General features: G+C 43.3%; 1 protein-coding gene across 12 annotated transcripts in view; it reads left to right on the forward strand.

Moving 5' to 3' along the window:
- The window catches only part of TDRD9 (tudor domain containing 9), a 124,212-nt gene that overhangs the window by 53,124 nt on the left and 45,149 nt on the right, over nucleotides 1–25,939 (forward strand). For 7 of the 12 annotated variants that reach the window (XM_006720019.4, NM_153046.3, XM_005267309.5 and 4 more), the window contains 12 exons: nucleotides 4,638–4,741; nucleotides 9,581–9,645; nucleotides 12,753–12,807; nucleotides 12,940–13,024; nucleotides 14,171–14,228; nucleotides 17,045–17,149; nucleotides 22,659–22,756; nucleotides 23,695–23,826; nucleotides 24,810–24,975; nucleotides 25,067–25,130; nucleotides 25,203–25,266; nucleotides 25,581–25,625. In XM_006720019.4, the coding sequence (XP_006720082.1) occupies nucleotides 4,638–4,741; nucleotides 9,581–9,645; nucleotides 12,753–12,807; nucleotides 12,940–13,024; nucleotides 14,171–14,228; nucleotides 17,045–17,149; nucleotides 22,659–22,756; nucleotides 23,695–23,826; nucleotides 24,810–24,975; nucleotides 25,067–25,130; nucleotides 25,203–25,266; nucleotides 25,581–25,625 (1,041 nt within the window). The remainder of the gene's footprint in view (nucleotides 1–4,637; nucleotides 4,742–9,580; nucleotides 9,646–12,752; nucleotides 12,808–12,939; nucleotides 13,025–14,170; nucleotides 14,229–17,044; nucleotides 17,150–22,658; nucleotides 22,757–23,694; nucleotides 23,827–24,809; nucleotides 24,976–25,066; nucleotides 25,131–25,202; nucleotides 25,267–25,580; nucleotides 25,626–25,939) is intronic. The other 5 variants (XM_011536397.3, XM_047430910.1, XM_047430912.1 and 2 more) reach the window with 3 other exon arrangements.

Here is a 25,939-nt window from a genome sequence, read left to right on the forward strand (position 1 = left end):
TTGACTTGTAATGGGGTTATGCCCTGATAAAACCATTGTGAGTTGAAATCATTAAGTTGAAAATGCATTTAATACACCTGTCCTCCTAGCCTACCTTGAATGAGTTCAGAACACTTATTTAGCCTATAGTTGGGCAAAATCACCAAATACAAGGCCTATTTTATAATAAAGTGTTGAATATCTTATGTAACTTATTGAATACTGCACTAAAAGTAAAAAGCAGAGTGGTTTCATATCACTGTAAAGTCTAAAAATATAAGTTAAATCATTGTAAATCAGGGACAGTCTGTGTTAATTTTGAGCTTATAAAAATGGTGTTGTTTTGTATAGATCCTATTATACAGCTTCAGAATCAGAGGACCTTGGTTAAAATTTCAGTTGTGTTACTGTCAGTACTCTTGTCATGTTACCTCACCACACTGTCTGCTGTTACAAGGGAGACTTGTCATGTTACCTCACCACACTGTCTGCTGTTACAAGGGAGAAGCCCCCTTTCTTCATGGAGCACCAGCCGCGCCTCCTGGGTTTCATGTCTCATCCTTCTTACCTTCTTAGGGACCTCATCTGATCTACTGTTTCCCCCTCCCCATTGTCACCATTAGTGTCTCCTTCTCTGCTGTCATTTTCTTGTCCACACTGAAACATAACTGAAGCTCTTTCACCTTTGCGAACACCCACCTTAGGTCTCAGGCTGCTCTCCAGCCGTTGCTGGCCTGTGGACTCTCTCATTCTCTACTTTTCTACCTCCCGCAGGCAATTCATTTATTGCAGGGTGGTGTCCCCTGTTGCCACTCAGACTGCACCTGCCAGGGTCCCTAGTGACCTCCTTGTCGTTAGGAGAGCTCTAGGTAAGTCCTAGACTTACCTGGCCTTTCTGCAATATTTGACACTGTTGGCCACTTCGATTCTTGAAACTCACCCTCTCTTTGGGTTCTGTGGTGGCATCCTGGTTTTTCTGTTACCAGATCTGGCTGTTCCCTTTCAGTGTCCTTTGGAGAGTCCTTTTCATCCTTTATATTCAGCTTCTTAAAAAATTGTGAAAGAGGCCAGGCGTGGTGGCTCATGCCTGTAATCCCAGCACTTTGGGAGGCCGAGGCAGGCGGATCACCTGAGGTTGGGTGTTCGAGACCAGCCTAACACGGAGAAACCCCAACTCTACTAAAAATACAAAATTAGCCAGGTGTGGTGGCACACGCCTGTAATCCCAGCTACTCAGGAGGCTGAGGCAGGAGAATTGCTTGAATCCAGGCGGTAGAGGTTGCGGTGAGCCAAGATCACGCCCTTGCACTCCAGCCTGGACAACAAGAGCGAAACTCCGTTTCAAAAAACAAAACAAAACAAAATTATAAAGAACACACTTAGAAAAAGGGTTACATAAAATGTAAATGTGTACTGTAATGAAATTGTGAAATGATCAACAACCCAGGTCCAGTAGTAGAGCATGCCCCCCGCCCCACCTGGACTCGCTGTGGGTCACTTTTTTTTTTTTTTTTTTTTTTTTTGAGACAGAGCCTTGTTCTGTCATCCAGGCTGGAGTGCAGTGGCGCGATCTCAGCTCATTGTAACCTCTGCCTCCCAGGATTGAGTGATTTTCCTGCCTCAGTCTCCCGAGTAGCTGGGATTACAGGTGTGTGCCCCATGCCCGGTTAATTTTTGTATTTTTAGTAGAGATGGGGTTTCACCATGTTGGCCAGGCTGGTCTTGAACTCCTGACCTCAAATGATCCACCCGGCTCGACCTCCCAAAGTGCTAGGATTACAGGCATGAGCCACCGTGCCCAGCCTAAAAGTCAACTTTTATAAATTATTTGGAAACTAGCTGACTTAATTTACTCTAAGTAAAAATTGGAAAAAAAATTTGCCCCTGTGATTGGCTTCTCTGATCACCTGAAGACTTCTTTTGATTTGTCCTCAACAAAATCAGATGCAATATTCTGCACATAGTGTTTAACAAGTAAAATTATTAATTAAAAAAGCTTCTTACTCTGGGTGAAAAAAACCCAGTATCGCTATAAAATAGATTTTTCAGAAATTTAGAGACATCTGTTGTGCTGGATACTGTAGAAAGATGCTTGTGTAGTTGTGGCCTCAGCTTGGGGAAAGCTGGGCAGTCACACCCATAGTAAATTAGTACCAGTAGAGTGGGGCACTGCTGAAAAGATACCCAAAAATGTGGAAGCCACTTTGGAACTGAGTAACAAGGCAGAGGATGGAACAGTTTGGAGGGCCTAGAAGGAGACAGGAAAATGTGGGAAAGTTTGGAACTTCCTAGAGACTTGTTGAATGGCTTTGAACAAAATGCTGATAGTGATATGGAGAATGAAATCCAGGCTGAGGTGGTTTCAGATGGAGATGAGGAACTTGTTGGGGACTGGAGTAAAGGTGACTCTTGTTATGTTTTAGCAAAGAGACTGGTGGCATTTTGCCCTGCCCTAGAGATTTGTGGAAGTTTGAACTTGAACGAGATGATTTAGAGTATCTGGTGGAAGAAATTTCTAAGCAGCAAGGCATTCAAGAGGTGTCTTGGATGCTGTTAAAGGCATTCAGTTTTAAAAGGGAAACAGAGCATAAAAGTTTGGAAAATTTGCAGCCTGACAATGCAATAGAAAAGAAAATCCCATTTTCTGAGGAGAAGTTCAAGTCAGCTGCATAAATTTGCATAAGTAGTGAGGAGCTAAATGTTAATCTCCAAGACAATGGGGAAAATGTCTCCAGGGCATGTCAGAGGTCTTCACGGCAGCCCCTCACATCACAGGCCTGGAGGCCTAGGAGGAAAAAGTGGTTTCGTGGGCCAGGCTTAGGGCCCCCGTGCTGTGTGCAGCCTAGGGACTTGGTGCCCTGTGTCCCAGCCGCTCCAGTTATGGCTGAAAGAGGCCAACAAAGAGCTCATGCCGTGTCTTCAGAGGGTGCAAGCCTCAAGCCTTGGCAGCCCCCACATGTTGTTAAGCCTGTGGGTGCACAGAAGTCAAGAATTGGGGTTTGGGAACCTCTGCCTACTTTTCAGAGAATGTGTAGAAATGCCTGGATGTCAGGGTAGAAGTTTGCTGCAGGGGCGGAGCTCTCATGGAGAACCTCTGCTAGGGCAGAGCAGAAGGAAATGTGGGGTTCAGGCCTCCACACAGACTCCAACTGGGGCACCACCTAATGGAGCTGTGAGAAGAGGGCCATTGTCTTCCAGACCCCAGAATGATAGATCCACCGACAGCTTGTACCACGCACCTGGAAAAGCTACAGACATTCAATGCCAGCCCATGAAAGCAGCTGGGAGGGAGGCTGTACTCTGCAAAGCCACAGGGGTGGAGCTTCCCAAGACCATGGGAACCCAGCTCTTGCATCAGTGTGACTTGGATGTGAGACATAGAGTCAAAGATCATTTTGGAGCTTTAAGATTTGACTGCCCTGCTGGATTTCAGACTTGCTTGGGACCTGTAGCCCCTTTATTTTGGCCAATTTCTCCCATTTGGAAAGGCTATATTTACCCAATACCTGTACCCCCATTGTATCTAGGAAGTAACTAATTTGCTTTGAGACTTGGGACTATGGACTTTTGAGTTAATGCTGAAATGAGTTAAGACTTTGTGGGGACTGTTGGGAAGGCATGATTGTGTTTTTAAATGTGAGGACATGAGATTTGGGAGGGGCCAGAGGCAGAATGATATGGTTTAGCTGTGTCCCCACCGAAATCTCATTTTGAAATCTCACCTGTTATGGGAGGGACCCAGTGGGAGGTAATTGAATCATGGGGGTAGGTCCTTCCTGTGCTGTTCTTATGATAGTGAGTAAGTCTCATGAAATCCGATGGTTCTGTAAGGGAGAGTTTCCATGCACAAGCTCTCTCTGTCTTCCACCATGATTGTGAGGCTTCCCCAGCCATGTGGAACTGTAAGTCCAGTAAACCTCTTTCTTTTGTAAATTGCCCAGTCTTGGGTATGTCTTTATCAGCAGCATGAAGATGGACTAATGCACAGCCTGACTTGGGGAGTTTGCCGCTTGTGGTTGGTGCCTAGTGTTTGGTAGCGGTGCCTGAGGGGCAAGTTTACATTATCTGGTCTTGGTGTCTTTGCTTTAATAGACAATTAAAAGTAGTAGAGGAACCCGTAAACCTTGGTAGACGGATACCTCATCATGAGGTTATGTTATCACCACACATTGGTAGATACGGATGTGACGTTACAGTTTTCTGGTACTTTTGATATACAAGGTTACTTTTCACACGTGAAATCTTAGGGAAGTCTTAGGGCTCTTTGAGGTGGGGGTTTGACAGAGGGGAAGGGCATTGGCTTTGAGATCAGGAACTCCTCCTGGGTTCCATAGACATTTGGTGTGACTTAATCGATGTCTTCAAAGTAGACATCCTGCCAAACACACTGCCTGTGCATGTCTGGGCTCTCTGAGCCATTCTTGCTCTGGTGACTAGGCGAGGAGATTGATGAGTATGGCACTTTATGTGTCCACTGTCCTGAGCAGTACTTGGCACACAGCACGTGTTCAGACATTGCTGTCAATAAAAACCAAGAACTTTTATTTAGAGAGTTTGTTACAGTGTTGTACTAATGGTGAGAGCCAGTCCCATCCAACGCCAGGTTTCTTCTGTAATCCTGTTTTCGTATTGCGACTTTTTTCTTTCACTGTTTTTAGCTCTCTCCTCATCTCCTGGAGGAACCGGTGATAACTAAGGATATATATGAAGTTGCTGTCTCTCTCATTCAGATGTTTGATGACTTGGATATGAAGGAGAGTGGGTAAGAGATACTTCAGTTGGTAATGCACTTTAATGTATATGTGATTTAAAAAATTATTCATTTGGAAACGTTTTAGTGTTTTTATAAGAAGGTATAACTATAGGTACTTTTTTAGTAGTTACTGTATATATTTTAAAATCAGGTTAGTATTTTGGAATTTTTTTAACTGGAAATATCTATTTTAAATAATTAAAGCCATGCTGAGTGCAGTGTTAGGACTGATAGTTTTAAAAGCTAGGATTTATAGCCTGAAAATAGTTTTTCCAGACATATAGGGGTCTTATCACTCTTAATGCTGGGGTAAAACTTTAAATCCTACATTAGTAGAAACTGTTGAAACTTTCTTTGCATTTGTTTTCATTTACTATAAAGACATATTCTTGACCCTAAGCAATCTCCTTCTGTAATCCAGATGTTCATTCATTTAGCTGGTTCTTTGAAAATTGGAACATTTTCCCTGAGGAACAGTTTTAGGTTATAAGTGGTGACTAGAGTTTATAATTTTAAAAATATGGCTGGGCGCGGTGGCTCATGCCTGTAATCCCAGCACTTTGGGAGGCCGAGGTCGGGGGATCACAAGGTCAGGAGATCAAAACCATCCTGGCCAACATGGTGAAACCCTGTCTCTACTAAAATACAAAAAATTAGCTGGGCATGGTGGTGCGCACCTGTAGTCCCAGCTACTCTGGAGGCTGAGGCAGAGGAATCGCTTGAACCTGGGAGGCAGAGGTTGCAGTAAGCTGAGATCGTGCCACTGCACTCCAGCCTGGTGACAGAGCAAGACTCCATCTCAAAAAATATATACACACACACACACACACACACACACACACACACACACACCATATGATTGAGCCTTTACAGCACTAATTTTACTACATCTGTCTCCATAGTTTTGCCTTTTCCAGGATGTCATGTAGTTGGGAATTATACAGTATGTATCCTTTTCATGTTGTCTTCTTCTACTTAGTAATATGTATTTAGTTCCCCTTATGTCTTTTCATGGCTTAGATAGCTCATTTCTTTTTAGCGCTAAATTCCATTGTCTGGATGTACCTTGTTCATTCATCTTCCAAATTTCCTGCTATGTTCTGCTTTAGCTGTGTCCCATTAGTTCTGCTATGTTGTGTCTTCATTTTCATTCATCTCAGAGTATTTTCTGATTTCCATTTTGATTTTTTCTTTGGCTTATTGGTTTTTAGGAGTGTGTTGTTTAATTTGCACATATTTGTGAATTTCCCCCAATTTTTCCTGTTACACATTTTGAATTTCATTCTATTGTGGTTGGAGAACATATTTTATATTTTTTCTGTTCTTTTAAATTTATGGAGGTTTGTTGCATGCCTAGCATGTAGACTGTTCTGGAGAATATTACACGTGCACTTGAGAATAATGTCACTCATTGTTTTTAGATGGAGTGTTCTATAGATGTCTTTTAGGTATGGTTGACTTACCATATTGTTCAGGTCTTCTACTTCTTGATCTTCTGCCTGGTTGCTCTATATATTATCGAAAATGAGATATTGATGTCCTCAGCAGTTGTTATTGAATTGCCTATTTCTTCAATCTTTTCTGTCAGTTTTTGCTTTATGTATTTTGGTTCTCTGTTGCTAGATGCATATATGTTTATACCTGTTACATCTTCCTGATTGATTCACCCATTTATCATTATAAAATGCACCTCTTATCTCTCGTAACACTTAATTTTAAGACCTATTTTGTGTATTAGTATAGCCATTTCACTTTTCTGTAGTTGCTGTTTGCATGACACATATTTTTTCATTCTTTTACTTTCAGTCTACTTAGTGTCTTTGCATTTAAAGTGTATCTCCTGTAGACAACATATTCTGAGTGGGATATTTTTTTTTTTTAAAGATTGAGTCTTGCTCTGTCACCAGGCTGGAGTGCAGTGGTGTGATCTCAGCTCACTGCAACCTCTGCCTCCTGGGTTCAAGCGATTCTCCTGTCTCAGCCTCCCGAATAGCTGGGACTACAGGCATGTGTCGCCATGTCCAGCTAATTTTTGTATTTTTAGTAGAGACAGGGTTTCACCATGTTGGCCAGGATGGTCTTGATCTCTTGACCTCGTGATGCGCCCGCCTCGGCCTCCCAAAGTGCTGGGATTATAGGTGTGACACCGCGCCTGGCCTGTATTTTTAAAATTAGTCTAACAATCTCTGCCTTTTGATTGGGCTGTTTAATCCATTTATGTTGTTTAATCCATTTACATTTAATTTTGTCACTGATATAGTTGAATTTATGTTGGCCATTTTGCTTTTTGCTTTCTGGATGTCTCATATTCTTTTTGTTCCTCTGTTTCTCTTTTACTGCTTTCTTTTGCATTTAACACATATTTTGCAGTGTAGCATTTTACTTTTTTTTTTTTTTTTTGAGACAAGGTCTCACTGTGTTGAGCAGGCTGGGTACAGTGGAGTGATCATGGCTCACAGCAGCCTCGACCTCATTGGCTCAATTGATCCTCCCACCTCAGCCTTGTGAGTAGCTGGGACTTAGAGGTGCGTGCCACCACACCCTGCTGATTTTTGTATCCGGTTACTTTTAAAATCACCTAAGAAGGAAGGAGGCAAAATATGTATTTACAGTATCTTTTGTTATTAACTAATTACCTTTACCAGTTCTCTTTCTTTGTTCATGTGGATTTGAAATACTCTCTGGGGTCGGCTGTTTTCAGCACAAAAAAACTTCCTTTAGTATTTCTAGTAAGGTGGGTCTGCTAGATACTCTCATTTTTTTATCTGGGACAGTCTTTATTTAGTCTTCATTATTGAGAGTTTTACTGAATACAGGAATCTTGATCGACAGTTGTTTTCTCTTTGAGCACTTTGAATATGTCATCCCACTGCTTTCTGGCTTCCATTGTTTCTTCTGAGAATTCAGCTGTTAATCTTACTGGGGTTTTCTTTGCATGTGGCATGTCATTATCCTCTTGCTGCTTGCAAGATTTCACCTTGTCTTTGAATTTCATTATGGCTTTTATGACTTCCTGTAGGACTGGGACAATAATTGAGCCTTTAATAGGCATTTTCATCTTTCTTTTAAGCCACCTGCTTTTGGATGCATGGTAATACCATTGAATTTCATGAGTCCATTGACTACTAAACTGAGCTCCTTGGCAGGAGGCCATGCTGTGCAGGAAATAATGGAAGCGAGAAAGGCATCTTTAGGTCCATGGATGGGGGTATGACAGGAGCTTTAGGTGCAGAGAAGGCAGACCTGAATCCAGAATAGGATCTGTATCTATTTCCATGAGGGCAAATCAGTATCTTTTTCATGATGGAATCAACCTGTCATCAGCTGGCTGGGCTGGTCCCCCAGGGAATGGTGCCATATTTGGGACTTGGCACTGGCCCTTGCTGTTGTGTGGTTGGCATCCAGCAGTGGTAGCAGCCGGATGAGTCTCATCTCAGGAAAGTGCATGGTGTTGAGTTTGTGTGTAAGCCTTCATCCCTGCTACCTGTCCACTCTGTGCGTTTTCCAACCCTGGAGGGACTGGAGAAGGAGGCTGGGTCACGTCCACAGGCAGGGCCTCTTGCCCGTCTGGTGACTGAAAGCCTTCTCCACTGTGGCTGCCTTATGGGCATTTCTTGGTACCTCTCCATCAGATCTCCTTATTATCAGTCTTGCCATTTCCACATCCCTGACCAGCTGACCAAGCTATTAGCCTCTGCCTATTGATTGGGGTGAACCCAACCTCATGGCCATGTCTCCTTCCACCCAAAGCGGTACCACCAGATGGACGGCCTCACCTCTGCTAACTGGGAAGAGCTCCCTTCCCCACTCACTGTGTGTGAGCCTCTCCTCTGGGTGGGGCTGTGATGCAGCAGATGTTCGCCCCTGGTTGTTGCCAGCATCCCATGCAGGCCCATCTACAAACCAAGGCTGTGTTTTTCATGGTAGTGGCTGCCGCCTGAGGTCATAGGTGTGGCTCACCCTCATAGGGAGAGATGGAGGAGCAGCAGGAGCAGTGACCATGGATGCTGAGCTGCCTGTGCTGCAGTGACTGGTTTACCCCTCACACCCCTTTCTCCTTTGTAGTGACTGTTCCCAGGCATTGCCTGGATTGCCACTGCATGGCTTTTCCATGGCTCCCTCCTCACCTCCCATTACTTCCCCAGAGAGGCCCTTCCCAGCCAGCCCTCCTGAGAGCACTCCATACATGCACCTCCCTTAGCACTGCTTACTGTGTTTCCCTGTGTGTCTCTTTAGGTCTTATTGCTAAATTGAAGGTGCCTTGTCTGTTTTCTTGTTTCCTGTCTGTCTCTCCAGTTAGAATGTAAGCTCCAAAGAGCAAGGAGCTTGTCTTCTTGTTACTGCTGTATCTTACACAGAGGAGGGCCTGGCATGTAGGAAGGGCTCACAGGTTCATGGAAGAATGAAAGTTCTAAATTCACACAAAAGTAAATATATTGACAATAGCAAGGAGGCAAGTAGATGATTTGAGATTTTGGTCTGTACAAATCCTTTCTAATAGTTTGGACTCATGAACATTTAAATTTTGCTTGTAGTTATTTTAAATGTTTTTTACTTTGAAGTTCTTGATTACAATAACTAAATTTCAAGGAAAACTTCTGCAGATAGTAAGTTTTGATAGGAGAAAGTATTGGGAGTCAAAAGGCTTAAGTCCCCTGAATGACCATGGGGCCTTGGATGTTTTCTCATCTTTTTGGGCTTCGTGTTTTCTTATGTAAAATAAGGAACATTACATTGGATGACCTGTAAGAGCCTTTCAGGATTAAAAGCCTGTAATATTAGGATTTTAGAGAAGCAATAGCTGTTATTAGCCTTCATTAATATTTGTGCACATCACATTTTTAACAGGAACAAGGCTTGGTCGGGGGCCCAGTTTGTGTTGGAGCGAAGCAGTGTGTTGGTGTTTTTGCCAGGTAAGAACATCATAATTTTGTGACTTGGAATCATAATACTCTGGAGAGAGGCTAAGTTTGTGCCTAACACAGATTATGAAAGATGGTATTCTCCATAGGACTTTATTCTTTTTACACTTTGAGTATGTGAACAAATGTAACTTTCAGTTTGGCTTTTTATTGTAACCCTTGCATTTCTTTTTTTTTTCCTTTTCCTTTTCCTTTTTCTAGATGGAGTCTTGCTCTGTTGCTAGGCTGGAGTGCAGTGGCACGATCTTGGCTCACTGCAACCTCTGCCTCCCCGGTTCCAGTGATTCTCCTGCCTCAGCTTCCCGAGTAGCTGGGACTACAGGTGCACGCCACCACGCCCGGCTTATTTTTGTATTTTTAGTAGAGATGAGCTTTCACCATGTTGGCCAGGATGGTCTCGATCTCTTGACCTTGTGATCTGCCCGCTGTGGCCTCCCAAAGTGCTGGAATTACAGATGTGAGCCACTGTGCCCGGCCAACCCTTGTATTTCTAAAAAAGATTTCTTATTAATAATTAAGAGTTCAATTTTTTTTTTTTTTTGGAGACAGAGTCTCACTCTGTTGCCCAGGCAGGGGTACAGTGGCAAAATCTTAGCTCACTGCAACCTCTGCCTCCTGGGTTCAAGTGATTCTCCTGCCTAAGCCTCCGAAGTAGCTGGGATTACAGACACGCGCCACCATGCTTGTCTAGAGTTCAGCTTTTTGAAGGCAGTTTTGCCACCTTCGAAATTTCCAGTAAAATATTTGGCTTTGTGAAATTTGCATTTTACATATGTCGTTATAAATGTGAGGTAACTGTCATCAGTTTGCATTGAAAGCTTATTTAGTAATAGTAAAACACACTGTTATTATAACACCGTGAGAATCATCAGGGTAATCCTTGAGTTCCCTTCTCAGTGTTTGAGAAAACAGACTTTTAAAATACCTTTCTGAAAAGATGAATTTATGTTAAATTGTACTTTTTCAAAATTACTTGATGTTTAATTCAAGTGGTATAGCTTGATGAAACATTATGACAATAATTCAAATATTTTCTGTTGTAATATATAGAGCATAAACAGATTTGTTCTTAAAATAATGGAGAATGAAAAACATGCAATGAAAGTAGCTTACTTAATTTTGGAATGCAACATATGAGTTTCAAACTTTTGTCATGTTTTGCTTAGCTGATAAGGATTTGTTTACATGCAGGGAACAACCATGAGCTGACAGTGGGGTGGTGTTGCATGTGCCTTGGTGAATATTTATCAGATGACTTCTGTGTGCATCATATTGTATTAAGGGGAAAACATCACCCAAGTAGAGCCATGTTGATACTGGCTTAAGAACACCTAACATGGGCCGGGCACAGTGCTCACGCCTGGAATCCCAGCACTTTGGGAGGCCGAGGCTTAAGAACACCTAACACGGACGGGCGTGGGGGCTCATGCCTGGAATCCCAGCACTTTGGGAGGCTGAGGTGGGTGGATCACGAGGTCAGGAGATCGAGACCATCCTGGCTAACATGGTGAAACCTCATCTTTACTGAAAATACAAAAAAAATTAGCCGGGCATGGTGGCGGGCACCTGTGGTCCCAGCTATTCGGAAGGCTGAGGCAGGAGAATGGCATGAACCTGGGAGGCGGAGCTTGCAGTGAGCCGAGATCACGCCACTGCACTCCAGCCTGGGAGAAAGAGCGAGACTCCATCTCAAAAAAAAAAAAAAAAAAAAAGAATACCTAACATGAGATAAATACTCTATTTTATTTATTTTTTAAGAAAGGGTCTTGCTGTGTTCCCCAGGCTGGAGTACAGTGGTGTGACCCCGATCACTGCAGCCTCTACCTTCTGGGCTGAAGTGATATTTCCACCTCAGCCTCCCAAGTAGCTGGGACTGCAGGCATGCACCCCCATGCCTGGCCAAATTTTTTTTTTTTTGGTATCTTTTTGTGGAGACGGTTTAACTAGCTTGCACAGGCTAGTCTCGAACTGCTAGGCTCAAGTGATCTCCATGAAGTGATCCACCTGCCTCAGCCTCCCAAAGTGTTGGGATTGCAGGTGTGAGCCACTGCTCCTGGCTGGTAAATACTTTTTACCTGCTAAACATTGCCTGAAGAAAATATTTATAAGTGATATTTTACATTTAGGGTTACTGTCCTTTTAATATGTTCATGTGAATTCAAGTTTGATAGATGTTTATGTGTCAATTGATCTTTTGTGAACAGTTCTATAGTAGTTTTCCAGGACTGCTGTAACAAAGTGCCACAAGCTAAATGCCTTAAAAGAACAGTCATTTATTCTCTCCCTGTTTTGGAGGCTAGATGTTCAAAATCGAGTTGTCAGCAGGGCCATGCTCTTTCTGAGCCTCTTCCTCTTTCCAGCTCCTGGTAGTGGCCGTCAGTCCCTAGTGCTCCTTGACCTGTGGCTACATCACTCCTGTCTCTGTTGTCACATGGCATTCTCTGTTTGTGCCTCTTCCCTTCTTGTATGGATACCAGTCATTTTGGATTAAGGGCTCACCCCATTCCAGTATAACTTCATCTTAACTAATTACATCTGCAATGACTCTATTTCCAAATAACACCACCTTCCGCATTCTGGGGTTAGGACTTCAATACGTCTTTTTAGGGGACACAGTTCAACCCATAACAGACTCAGATTTGAGAATCAGGATGAGGCAAAAGCACCTGCTAGCTTAGCTTTCAGCAAACAGGACGGAGGCCTGATGGAAATGGTTTAGCACATCCTCATGACCAAAACTTTACAAATGTTATTTTTTGATTGTAAAGATTTTGCATGCTCATTATAGAAAATTTAGAAAATCTGGGGGTAAAAAAGGAATACAAAAATTACTCATATAGCTAACACCCACAGGGAGTCACTGCTGTGTAAAGGAAAACTGGAATAATAGGGTTTTTCCCTATATTTTTGAGTTACTACTAATCAATGTCACTGTGTACTTTTACTTGTGTTTCTGGCATATTTAGGCAAAGAGGATAAAGAAGTCAAATAAATTGGTAGGGCCTTCTTTGAAAGATATGCCATTTTAATTTAAAGGTTGGTTTCTAGCAGTAAATACAAACATGTTTATTTCCCTCCTCCACTTTTTTCTTCCCTAGGTCTGGGTGAAATAAATTATATGCATGAACTTCTCACAAGCCTGGTTCATAAAAGGTATGTTGAAAATGATACAGCTGTATTCTTCTAAGCCATTGCATTGTTTCTGCCTTAAATTATCTCAGTATTTATTTTTGTATCTCATGTATATCTATTCTTTATGGAGATTTTATTTTAGTAATTTCTTAGGTTGCAGGTCTATCCACTCCATTCAAGTGTGGCTTTAGAAGAACAGAATAATGTCTTTTTAAGTCCAGTCCCTGGGTACAGAAAGGTAGGAAAACTGGGAAGACAAGTTCTAAGCACTTTAGGTAAATTTTCCTTAGAGACTCTACTCATGAAAAATATTTTCTGGGTGTCGTGGCTCATGCGTGTGTTTCCAGCACTGTGAGAGGCTGAGGTGGGTGAATCATTTGAGCTCAGGAATTTGAGACCAGCCTCATGGCGAAACCCCATCTCTACAAAAAATATAAAAATTACCTGAGTGCAGTGGCATGCACCTGTAGTCCCAGCTACTTGGGAGGCTGAGGTGGGAGACTTGTGCCTGGGAGGTGGAGGCTGCAGTGACCCGAGATCACACTGGTGCACTCCAGCCTGGGTGACAGAACAAGACTGTCTCAAAACAAAAAAAAAAAAGAAAAAAAAATCACATTTCAGCAGTGTGTTCTGTAGTTAGTGGTTACTCACTTAAACAAATATTTACCTAATGAGCCAGGTATGTTGTTTAGTTTTGTGTTTTATTTTGTAAATCAGTTTGCTAAAAAGCTAAGATTTTTTGTTTTCTCAATTCAGGAATTCTGGTGCCTTTTAATTCTTCTTTAGCATTTCTTTAACTTTGGGACTGTTCTCGTGTCCTTGAAACCACTCTGGTGACTCTGGTTAGAAGCCATATTCTAGGTCCTGCTTCAGGAGGATTTCTTTATCTCAGATTATGTGTGAATGATGGAGTTGTTTTAACAAGACCCTTCTAGAGCTGCTTGAGGTGATCAGGGGGCCTGAGTTGACAACGTCGCCCCCCTTGATTGCTTTGGAATCTCTAGGAGCAGCCTTGGGTGGTATTCTAGGGCAAGTACAGGCAACAACCCTTCTTCTAGAAACCTGGTTGTGCCCCTGGGCAATTCCAGGACCCCTCTCCACCCCACCAAAGTTACCACACCAGAAGTCAGGAATAGCTCCCTTTGCCCGTGTCTTGTCTGCCTGTGTTAAAGCCTTTGCTGTGTTGTATGTGGCTGGTTTCCATTCATCAGGGGCTTCTTGATCAATTGTGATGTGTATAAAATAGAAAAATGGCTAATTTTGAAACCTGAGTTCAGTATTTACATTCAGAAGCTTTAAAATAATTTTTGCATTTTTGTAAACTTTGCCTAATGATGTTCGGAATATAGTAGGAATGTCAGCTTTTTTCTTTGATGTTTAACAGATTATTCTGTCCACCAATATTGCAGAGAGTTCTGTCACAGTTCCAGATGTCAAATATGGTAAGATACTTCTCCGTTTACCTCCTGGCATTAGCTGTAGTGCCATATTTATTGGCTTATTCACCTCACTCAGGAATTGTTCTTCTCTTCCTTCCCATCTCCTCCCGTTTTGGAACACAGAATTGAGAAAAGTAGGTTTACGTAGTTTCTCCCATACTCTCAGTTCACCACCACCTCCTCTGAGTGTACCTGTTTCATCCTTTAGGGCAAGCTGGCTCGTCGGAAGTGTTTGGGGTGTTCCACTGGGCCTTGTGGGAAACAGCTTCGGGGCTGCCAGGTGGAGTTCTGTGACTGGAGGGAGGCAGATGTGGGGAGGAGCTCAGGCCATCTCAGCTCTGAAGGTTGCTTGGCAGGACACCATGTCAACTCTGGAGCAGCCCACTTTGTCATCTCATCTTCCACATATGTGTCTGTAATTACTTTGTGAGATTGCTTCATCAATGAGTTTTCTAAATTCATTAATTTATATTTGAAAACCTAACACATGTGTCGGGCACTGTTCTCAGTGCTGGCAGTACAGTGGTGAGTAAGACAAAGTCCAGTCCTCATGGCTGCTACGTTCTGGTGGGAGAGAGAGATGCTTAGCAGGTAAAAAGGTTTTATAATTTCAGGTACAGGTCAATGTTGTGTAGGAAAATAAATCAGGGGAAGGGGTACAGTTATTGGGAAAAATGATCTTTCAGATAGGATCTTTCAGATAGGAATTACCTCTTTGAGGAAGTGACATTTTAATAGAGACCTGGATTAAATGAGGAGCGAGCTATGCAAAAAGGTGGCTGGGGTGTAGGGAACGGGTTTGAGGAGCAGCACACGGCCAGTGTGGCTGGAATGGGTAAACCAGGGCAGATGATAATGAGCAGGTGTTTTGTCTTTGTACCAGCGAAATAGCAGTAAGCAAAATAGACAAAAAGCCTTTGTTCTCATGACACATTCGGGGTGGGTAGATAAGTACAGATATGGAGTAAGTTACATGATGGTGAGTGTATGAAGAAAAAGGGGTTATTGGGTAGGGAGTGTCAGGGAAGCACCATTGAGATTGCAGGTGGAGTGATCAGGGAATGTGACAAGTCACATCCTGAAGGAGGTTAGGGAGGGAGTCGGGTCCATACCTGGCAAAAGAGTGTTTGGGGTAGGAGAAGGCAAGAGTGTGCTTGATGGTTGTGAAACAGCACCATCAAGCAAGGAGGCCAGGGCAGCTGGACCAGTGTGAACGAAGGGGAAACGAGCCAGAAGAGAGGCCTGGGGGTAGCAGGGGCCATGCAGGGCCCATAGGACCTGGTACAACCTTGCTGTGCTGGGCAAGATGGAAAATCGTTGGTAGGTTTTGAAAACAGAAATGACATAACCTGAAGTTCACTTAACAGGATTTCTCTGGGAATAGACTAGAATGAGGCAAAGGAGAGAAAAGGAAGAGACTTAGGAGGGTGTCACAAGAATCTAGGCGACAATGGGTGGTGCTTAGAAAAGGACAGCAGCGGTAGGGGACAGGAGGTGGGGGTAGATCCCAGGGAGATTCTGAAGGCAGAGCTGGGGAGGATGTGCTGAGGTCTCTGATGGAGAAATTGTGAGAGACACATTTGGTCGGCCTCTAGACATGTGGCCTGAGAGACTGGGAGGATGGAGGCTCCTGCGAGATGGTGAAGGCTGTGGAAGGAGCAGGGTGGGGCAGGTGAGGAGCTGGGATTCGGGCTGAGACGTGCTAGATGTTCAGGTGGAGGTGTCATGGAAGCATCTGGCTGTGTGAGCCTGGAGACCAGGGCCAGGGAGCAGCTGGCGGGGGCGTCAGCCCGTGACTGGCGTTGGAAGGCAGGAACCTGGCCAAGCTCTTCTGGGAGTGCACAGAGGGAGGGTGGCCCCGGTGTGTAAAGGTGGGCAGTAAGAGCAGAGGGGCCTCCAGGGCAGTGGGAAGAAAGCCAGTGAACACAGAGGCCTAGACACCCAGTGGGAAAAGGGTCTTGAGGGGATGGAGTGGAGGAGTGCATCAGATGCCCATGGCGGGTCAAGGAGGACCTCCCAACGGGGCTGTTGTCAGTGACCTTGACAAGAGCAGCTTTGGTGGAAGCAAGCGTCTGCTTGGAGTGGGCTCAAGAAAGGATGGGAAGAAATGAACAAAGAACCGGTGGCGGCACACAACACTCCACAGGTGCTTTGCTGTAGGGGAGCAGAGGAAATGGGGCAGTAAGTGAAGGGGTGGCCCAAGGGAGTGAGTGTTGCTGATGGGAGATCCCCAGTGCTTTGCCTGTGTGAGGGGGAAAGGTGTGGTGGAGGGGAGGAGGCAGGCCACAGATGAGGATACTAAAGCGCAGAGACACTCGGCAGCTTATCCAGCCAGGCACACCCACATGCACACTTCTACCCACCCACCCACCCACGCGTACAGATGCACAGATACACACACCCATCCAGACACACACATACCCAGACACCCAGATCCACCCACAGGCACACACAGACGCGGGATTTGAATTCTGGCAGTCCCTTGCATCAGCTGCTCTTCTGTACTGCTGTTGTAATGATGCTCTTTTGGAGAACGTTACTCTTTCGGGTGCAGTCCAGGTAGGCCTTTTTATGACACGTTGGGTCTTACGGGTTATGCATTCTTTACACCTAGAGACTCCCTGTACTCAGCAAGAAAGGATGGGACCAGCAACTCCCCATCCTGGGCGGGAGTGGTCGGTGCGTGGCCAAACGTTTCTGCCTGTTCACTAATTCTTAAGGCTGCATGTTTCAAATGGCTTTATCACTATGCATTGTGATTTATTATGCAATGATCTCTTATTAGCATGGTGTTTACAGTCCTTTTTTTTAAATGGCAGTTATAGATTTTTGTTTGACTAGAACTTTGGTCTGTGATGAAGATACAAATTATCAGAGTCTGCGATTGAGTTGGGCTTCTAAAACCAGCTGTAATCAGAGAAAAGGTAAGACATTTGTGTTAAAGCACAATAATGAGTCATTGGTGACACAGTGGCACATTCAGGTGCTTTTTTTTTTTTTTTCTCTGAGACGGAGTCTTGCTCTGTCGCCCAGGCTGGAAGGCAGTGGCGCGATCTCGGTTCACTGCAAGCTCCGCTTCCCGGGTTCTTGCCATTCTCCTGCCTCAGCCTCCCGAGTTGCTGGGACTACAGGCGCCTGCCACCACGCCTGGCTAATTTTTTGTATTTTTTAGTAGAGACGGGGTTTCGCCGTGTTAGCCAGGATGGTCTTGATCTCCTGACTTTGTGATCCACCCGCTTCAGCCTCCCAAAGTGCTGGGATTACAGGCGTGAGCCACCGTGCCCGGCCATTCAGATGCTTTTCTAAAAAATTCATTTTTTGCACTTTTTACTTAGATATTTCCTTTCTTGGAACGAGTTTTAAGTTTTTAGCAATGGCTTCTCATATTGTCAGAGTGTCCATTTAAATCCATGCTTCTCCTCTCTTCTAATGTATGAGGTCTTTGTACATAATGGATAAACCCCATCATCCTGACACTATGTTTTTTTCTTAAAGTTAAGTTAAAAAATTATTGGTGAAGAACTATGGACACCAAGTGGATCACTTCAGTAATTTTTGATGATTTGATTTCTGTTTAACTTTGATCTTCCTAGGGTTAGTTTTCCTAAAGTGGTTCTGCAGAGAGTTCTGGATTTGCTGCATCAGCCACATGTATCACTGGGCAGAGATGAGGGTGTGTGGGGTCACTTTTGGGGTCTTGGGATGCTTCAACTACAGTGGAGGTATATTCATGACATACCTGGGACAGGTTAAGATCACCTGTGGCAAGAACTGATTTTACAGGACAGCATTCTCAGTGCAGACTGAGAAGTGGCTTTTTTTTTTGTTTGTTTTTTAGAAAACCTTTTGGGAAGGGTAGATAAAAGACCATTTCAAGAATACTAAAATACTAAATACACCCCCCAAAATAATAAAGGCAACATTGATTGAATATTTACCATATGCCAGACATTCTTCTAAGTATTTATTAACTCATTTAATCTTCCTAACAACCCTGTGAGGTAACGTACATGGTGTGTTAATTAAGATTTCCCATTTCTTAGTGAAGCAGTTAGCTGAGAGGCACAGAAATAGTAACTTGCTCAAGGTTATAGTAGGAAGTGGTGGGAATGAGGTTTGAACCCAGAAATCTGGCTTTGGTCTACATTCTTAACCTTTTTGTTATATCACCTCTCCTGAAATGACTTGCCTAGAGAGGGGTTAAGAGAATGACTAAGCAGCTGTTAAAATAGGGTCACAGAGGCCAGGTGCGGTGACTTACACCTGTAATCCCAGCACTTTGGGAGACTGAGGCGGGTAGATGCCTGAGCTTAGGAGTTCGAGACCGGCCTGGACAACATGGCAAAACTCTGTCTCTACCAAAAACACAAAAAATTAGCTGGGTGTGGTGGCTCATACCTGTGGTCCCAGCTACTCAGGAGAGTGAAGTGGGAGGATCACTTGAGCCTGGGAGGTAGAGGTTGAAGTGAGCTGAGATCGCACACACTGTACTCCAGCCTAGGTGACAGAATGAGAGCCCCGTCTCAAAAAAAAAAAAAAAAAAAAAAGTCACAGAGGTTCTCATCACTTTGGAAAAAACTTAAGTATTGTTATAAAGTGAAGAGAAAAAAGGATATTAAACTGTAAACACCTCACTATGTTTAACCACCTCTCCCCTCAAACTTTCTAAAAAACTATGCTTAAAAAATGACTAGAAATAGCTGGGTGTGGTGGCTTGTGCCTGTAATCCCAGCACTTCGGGAGGCTGAGGCTGGTGGATCATTTGAGGTCAGGAGTTCAAGACCAGCCTGGCCAACATGGTGAAACCCTGTCTCTACTAAAAATACAAAAATTTGCTGAGTGTGGTGGCACACACCTGTAATCCCAACTACTTGGGAGGCTGAGTTACGAGAATTGCTTGAACCTGGGAGGTGGAGGTTGCAGTGAGCCTAGATCACGCCACTGCACTCCAGCCTGGGCAACAGAGCAAGACTGTGTCTCAAAAAAAACAAAAACCTCAATAAAAAGTGACTAGAAATAAATATACAAAGATGTTAAAAGTGATTATCTTTGGGTCAGTCTTGGGATTATAGGAGTTTTGTCTACCTTTTTGTATATTCAAAATTTCTATAATTAGATATTTATTATAAAATTTCTTCCTCTATAAGATATTGCAAAAATAGCACATAGAATCCTTTGAATCCTTCTCTTATCTTCCCCTGGAGTAGGACATCTTTATAAGTACAGTCAACCAGGAAATTGACATAGTGTAACACTGTTAGACTATACACCTTGTTTCACAATTTTACCTGTACTGTGTGTATGGTTCTGTGCAGTTTGATCCCATGTGTAAGTTTGTGTAACCACTACTATGATCAGAGCACAGAACTGTCCTGTCCCACTGCTATGCAGGGGTGGCCCTGTGCTGCCCCCTTGCAGCCATACCTGCCCCTAACACTCTGTCTGTCAACTGGTGACCCGTCTTCATCTCTGCAGCTTCGTAATTTCCGGGATGTTAGATAAATGGAATCATACAGTATGTAACCTTTTGAAATTAGCTTTTTCCACTTACCATAGTGTTCTTAGGAGCCATCTAAGCCAATACAAGCTGCACGTAGCAGTGGCTCATTCCTTTTTATTACTAAGTAGTACTCCACTGAACATTTACCTGTTTAAGGACATTTGAGGTTTTTCCAATTCTTGCCGTGTAAATAAAACAGCTGTGAATATTCATGTACAGGTTTTTGTGTGGCCATAAGTTTTCATTTCTCTGGTATAAAAACCCAAGAATATAGTTACTGGGTCATGTGGTAAATCTATGTTTAGTTTCTTTTGTTTTGTTTTGACACGGAGTCTCACTCTGTCGCTGGGCTGGAGTGCAACGACGTGATCTCGGCTCACTGCAACCTTCACCTTCTGGGTTTAAGCAATTCTCCTGCCTCAGCCTCCCGAGTAGCTGGGACTACAGGCATGCCCCACCACGCCCAGCTAATTTTTGTATTTTTAGTAGAGATGGGGTTTCACCATGTTGGCCAGGACGGTCTCCATCTCTTGACCTCGTGATCTGCCTGCCTAGGCTTCCCAAAGTGCTGGGATTACAGGCATGAGCCACTGTGCCCGGCCTATGTTTAGTTTTATAAGGAACTACTGTAAACTCTTTCCATGGTGGCTGTGTCATTTTACATTCCATGAGCAATGTGTGAGATCTGTTTTTTCCGTATCTTTGCCAGCACCACTGTTAAAAGAAAAATTTTGGCCAGACACAGTGGCTCATGCCTGTAATCCCAGCACTTTGGGAGGGTGAGGTGGGCAGACTGCTTGAGCCCAGGAGTTTGAGATCAGCTTGGGCAACATGGCAAAACCCTATCTCTATAAAAAATACAAAAATTAGTCAACCATGATGGCATGCGCCTGTACTCCCAGCTACTCAGTAGGGTGAGGTGGGAGGATAGATTGAGCCTGGGAGGTCAATGCAGTTGAGCCATGATTGCGCCACTGCACTCCAGCCTGGGTGACAGAGTGAGATGCTGTTTCAAAAAAAAAAAAAAAAAAAAGAAAAAAATTTTAGACAAATTAAATTTAACAGAGTTTTAAAGAACAATTTGCAAATTGGTCTGCCCCTGAACTGGAAGAGGTTTAGAGAGACTCTGGTGCTGTTGCGTGGTCAAGGAAGATTTATGAACAGAAAAAGGAAAGTGACGTGTAGAAAATGGAAGTGAGGTACAGAAATGGCCGAATTGACTACACCTGGGCATTGGTCCTCTTTGAATGTGGTTTGAGCAGTTGGTTGCCTTTGATTGGCTGAAACCCGGTGATTGGCATAAGAGTGGGTTATAGTCTTTTTACATATCTAGTTAGGTTATAGTTTACTATATGCAGAGAGACTTTTAGGCTGAACTTAAAATATGTAAGGAGGCATCTTTAGGCTAACCTTTTTTCTTTTCTTTTCTTTTTTTTTTTTCTTTTTGAGACAGAGTCTTGATCTATTGCCAGGCTGGAGTGCAGTGGCGTGATCTCGGCTCACTGCAGTCTCCACCTCCCAGGTTCAAGCAGTTCTCTGCTTCAGCCTCCCAGGTAGCTGGGACTACAGGCGCGCACCCCTATGCCTGTCTAATTTTTGTATTTTTAGTAGAGACAGGGTTTCACCATGTTGGCCAGGATGGTCTCCATCTCTTTACCTCGTGATCTGCCCGCCTCGGCCTCCCAAAGTGCTGGGATTACAGGTGTAGGCTAAACTTAATTTAACAACTTTCCCTTTTGGTCAACCTGTCAAGATTAAGAGGTTGACCAAAACCTTAGGCATTGATGTCACTTTGTCACCATTGTAAATGTGTTTATTTGGTCTCAGATCTCCCTGGGAAGAGATTGAGATTGGCTCAATCTCTTGAGCCAAGAGATTGAGACAGTGAGTTTTGTCAGGTGGGAACAAGGACTTTAAGTTATTTTTTTATAAGGGTTAGAGTAGCGGGGACCTCTTTATGTTGGGATTTTTTATTTTTATTAGTAGGAGAAAAAGACAACTTGGTCTGTTTTAGCATCTATCTTATGCCTTAATAAACAAAAGACAAAGGGTAGATTTAGATAAAAAATTTTAATAGTACCTTTGTTAATCCATAATCAGTCAGAAACAAAACATTGGTTCACCCCTCTTGACCTACATCATAGGTTAAAGAAAACATTGCCAAGAGGCCTTCACCCTTCTAGATAGATATCTTTTGTTAGGATCTAGATCCCCATAGGTGGGGAAAGAATGCTTTTTGGGTTGCCCCATTTCTTTTAAAGCTGCATTTTAAGACTCCCTCCTACCCCTCCCTTCACTCTCTCTCCTTGGACTATTTTATTATGTGTTAGGATAAAAGAGTTGCTACTTCATAGGTGATAGAGTCACAAGAGAGTAGTAGTTTGTGTCATGGTCTCTGTGGGCCAGCCTTGGTTCTGAACCTTCTGCTTGTTCCTCACTCGGTCACGTAATGCGGTGTGGCTGACAGCTGGGAGGGTGCTTTGCAGTGGGGCAAGGAGCTGTGGGAAGCACAGGGTGCTGAGACAGCTCCTCGATGGCATTGTAGGGCCTGTCGCCAACCTCGTGACTTTCTGTTATGTACTGTGCATTTTCAAGAAGGGTGTACTTGGTTTCTGTTGCATATTGGGCCAAGGTTGTTTTCTTCAGAAATATGCATTGGATTTTATAATATTGGTCACTGAATAGAAGTCAGCATTTAGTCTTGTTCTATTTATTCTAATTTTTTAGGATAGTCATTCTTATTTAGAATAATGTTTAAAATAATAACTTATTAAGAATACACTAATGTATTCTAAAGTTTTTACTGACATAGTCTGGTGGAAGATACTTAAGGCTTTGCTTAATTAATATTTAATGACTGTTTAAAAAGATACCTTCATGCTGATGTTAAAGTAATTAATGCCAAACACTGTTTGCACATCTCTCCTTTGAAGGCCGTGCTGGACGAGTGTCTAGAGGGTACTGTTACCGGCTGGTACACAAGGATTTCTGGGACAACTCCATCCCTGATCATGTTGTTCCTGAGATGTTGGTAATTCACTTTGGTCATTGTCAAAGTTTATTTATTTATTTATTTATTTATTTATTTATTTATGAGACGGAGTCTTGCACTGTTGTCTGGACTGGAGTGCACTGGCATGATCTTGGCTCACTGCAATCTGCCTCCCGGGTTTACGCGATTCTGCTGCCTCAGCCTCCCAAGTAGCTGGGATTACAGGCACACACCACCACGCCCAGCTAATTTTTTGTATTTTTAGTAGAGACAGGGTTTCACTGTGTTGGCCAGACTGATCTCGAACTCCTGACCTCGTGATCCGCCCGCCTTGGCCTCCCAAAGTGTCAAAGTTAATTTTTTGTAGATAGTTTTGCCAAATAGTCTAAGTGATATAATTTCTAGTGTCATCTAATTTTGATTCCAGAAAAATCCTTGTCTTGCCACATTCCCCCTCACTCACAATCTGGGCTCACTATTGATTACACATCAGGCTACTGTCTAGGGCGTTACCCACATTTTACAGTTTTAATGAGAGGATGTTTTCTGGTATCTATGGGCTCTATAATAGGATTGTCTTTAAATGCTGCTGTTTTCTATGTCCCTTTATAATGAGTAATTGTGGGATCAGCTTTTTTTCCTTCCTCTTTTCTGTGTCTCTCCCCTTCCTTTGTCCTCCTTCTTTTTTTTCTTCTTTCCCTCTCCCTGCTTTCTTGCTCTCCCACTTTTCAGTCCCTCTTTTCCTTCTCTTTTTTCTTCCTTCTCTCTCCCCATCTTTTTATTTTTCCATCTCTTTCTCTCCTGTTCTTTCTTCTTCTCTCTCCCTTCTCTTCTCTCCCTCCCTCAATCCTCTCCATTTTTCTTTCTTCTCTCCTCTCCTTCTCTCCTCCTCTTTCCCTCTGAAGCACTGGTTATGTGAATCGGCTAACTGATTTAGTTATGTTATTATTTCTAATCTCAGGCTTGTTTCTTTTCAGCGTTGTCCATTAGGAAGCACGATCTTGAAAGTGAAATTACTTGACATGGGTGAGCCGAGAGCTCTGCTGGCCACTGCCCTTTCCCCGCCTGGTCTGAGTGACATTGAGCGCACCATCCTTCTACTAAAGGAGGTAGGACTGCCTGCTGGTTAGTACTGTTGGCATCTGTAGAGCTGTGTTCTACTGTGGCTCCCTCAGTCTGTGCCTCACTTTCCCACTAACTCTGATCCTCCCGCCTCACTTTCCCGCTAACTCTGTTCCTCCTGCCTCACTTTCCCGCTAACTCTGTTCCTCCTGCCTCACTTTCCCGCTAACTCTGTTCCTCAGCCTCCTTCTGGCTTGCTTCATCCATTCCTGGAAACCCTGCTCTTCCTACTTGGGATTCTTTGACTGCACACCTGACTCATACTCTGCTCTTTGAACTTGTAACCGAGGCCTTGGTACAAGCTGTATCCTAGTGTACATACTGTGCTGGGGCTGTGGACGTTCTGCTTCTGACCTTCGAAGTTGAGGATGCTTCTGGTGTTTTACCTTCTTTATTATGATTGATTGATTGATTAACTGGGTCTTGCTCTGTTGCCTAGGCTGGAGCGCAGTGATGCAATCATGGCTTACTGCAGCCTCAAACACTGGGCTCAAGTGACCCTCCCACTGTGGCCTCCCAAGTAGCTGAGACTGAGGTGTGAGCCACCACACTTGGCTGCCTTTAAATATGATACCTCCTTGGGTTTCTATGAAATACACTGTGTCAAGTTAAGGAAGTTTTTCCCCATACATAGTTCAGTAAGGTTTTGTTGACAGTGACAGCTGGGAGATCCTTCACTTAGTACTGTGCATGCCATATTTGTTCAAGAGTGAGGTGAGTAGAATTCTGTGAAAGTCCTTTAGTGTTACCTCCCAGGATCATACTTTTAAAAAAAAAGTAAAATGTGTTCTAAGTTTCAAGGGAAAATTTAAAAAGTTTTTTTTGGTAACATATCAACCTTTCATAAATTGACTTAGAATGTTATTCACCAAAATTAGGTCTTTGTTTCCTGTTTTGGACTCTCCACCTTAAGGGGAAGAAGTATGAGTAAGTCAGTGCTTGATAATAACACTAATTTTATTTTATAAAGGTTGGAGCACTTGCAGTGAGTGGGCAGAGAGAAGATGAAAACCCCCATGATGGTGAATTGACCTTCTTAGGAAGAGTTTTAGCCCAACTTCCTGTAAATCAGCAACTTGGTAAACTCATAGTCCTTGGACATGTATTTGGATGTCTAGATGAATGTCTTATTATAGGTAAGTGTGAGAACAAATAAATGCTAATGGGAAGTTTATATAACACCACTCTCACAATCTTACATTCTTCTTGTTTATTTTTTATGGTTAGCGGCAGCTCTTTCTTTGAAGAATTTTTTTGCAATGCCTTTCCGGCAGCATCTCGATGGATATAGGTACTGAACATTCATATTTTAAAGTGTCACTGTATTTTAATGGTATTGAATGACACTGTTATCTGTTTATAGGAACAAAGTGAATTTCTCTGGCAGTAGCAAGAGTGACTGTATTGCACTTGTTGAGGCATTTAAAGTAAGTTTTCTGTTGTGTAAACCATGAAAGCAGCTACCACAGATTGTTAGTACATTTTCATACCACAAACATATGAGGTAGAGACAGACAATGTTTTATCTAGTGAAAGTATTATCAGGGTTATTGGTGTCCAGTGTTAAATTAACCGTGCTGGAAGAAGTGAGTGAGGTGGAAGTCCAATTTTATGAAATTGATTGAAAAAATTAAATTTGTAAATTTTTATGTTGTAAATTTTCAGGTTTGTTGAAATTGTACTTAAAAAAAATTCAGTGAGCCAACACATTATTTTGAAAGTTTGGATCCTTTATTTTCAGACATGGAAGGCTTGCAGACAGACAGGGGAGCTGCGGTACCCGAAGGTTGGTGAGCCCTTTCCTGCTGCTTTCTAGATGGCTGGGAGTAATGAGAGAAGGACTCTGTCTTGGTACAGTCATAGCGTGTGAATCATGACGGTGCCACCTGCGGCTGGAGTCGAGGTCACTGTCAGTGCTCGCACGGCTGTCCCAAGAGTGGCAGGCCATAATCTCCGCAGACTGGTCCTTTTGCTTCCATCGCTTCTCGGGAGGCCGCTTGCTCTCAGGCCTGTGCTGGAGCTGTGCTGCTTGTTTCATGGCTCCACATTGTACTGATCTTGCCATGGTGTCTGCAGCCTCTTTGGCTGTATTTCATAGCT

This window comes from Homo sapiens, chromosome 14 (genome assembly GCF_000001405.40).
Source record: "Homo sapiens chromosome 14, GRCh38.p14 Primary Assembly".
Classification (NCBI taxonomy): domain Eukaryota; kingdom Metazoa; phylum Chordata; class Mammalia; order Primates; family Hominidae; genus Homo; species Homo sapiens.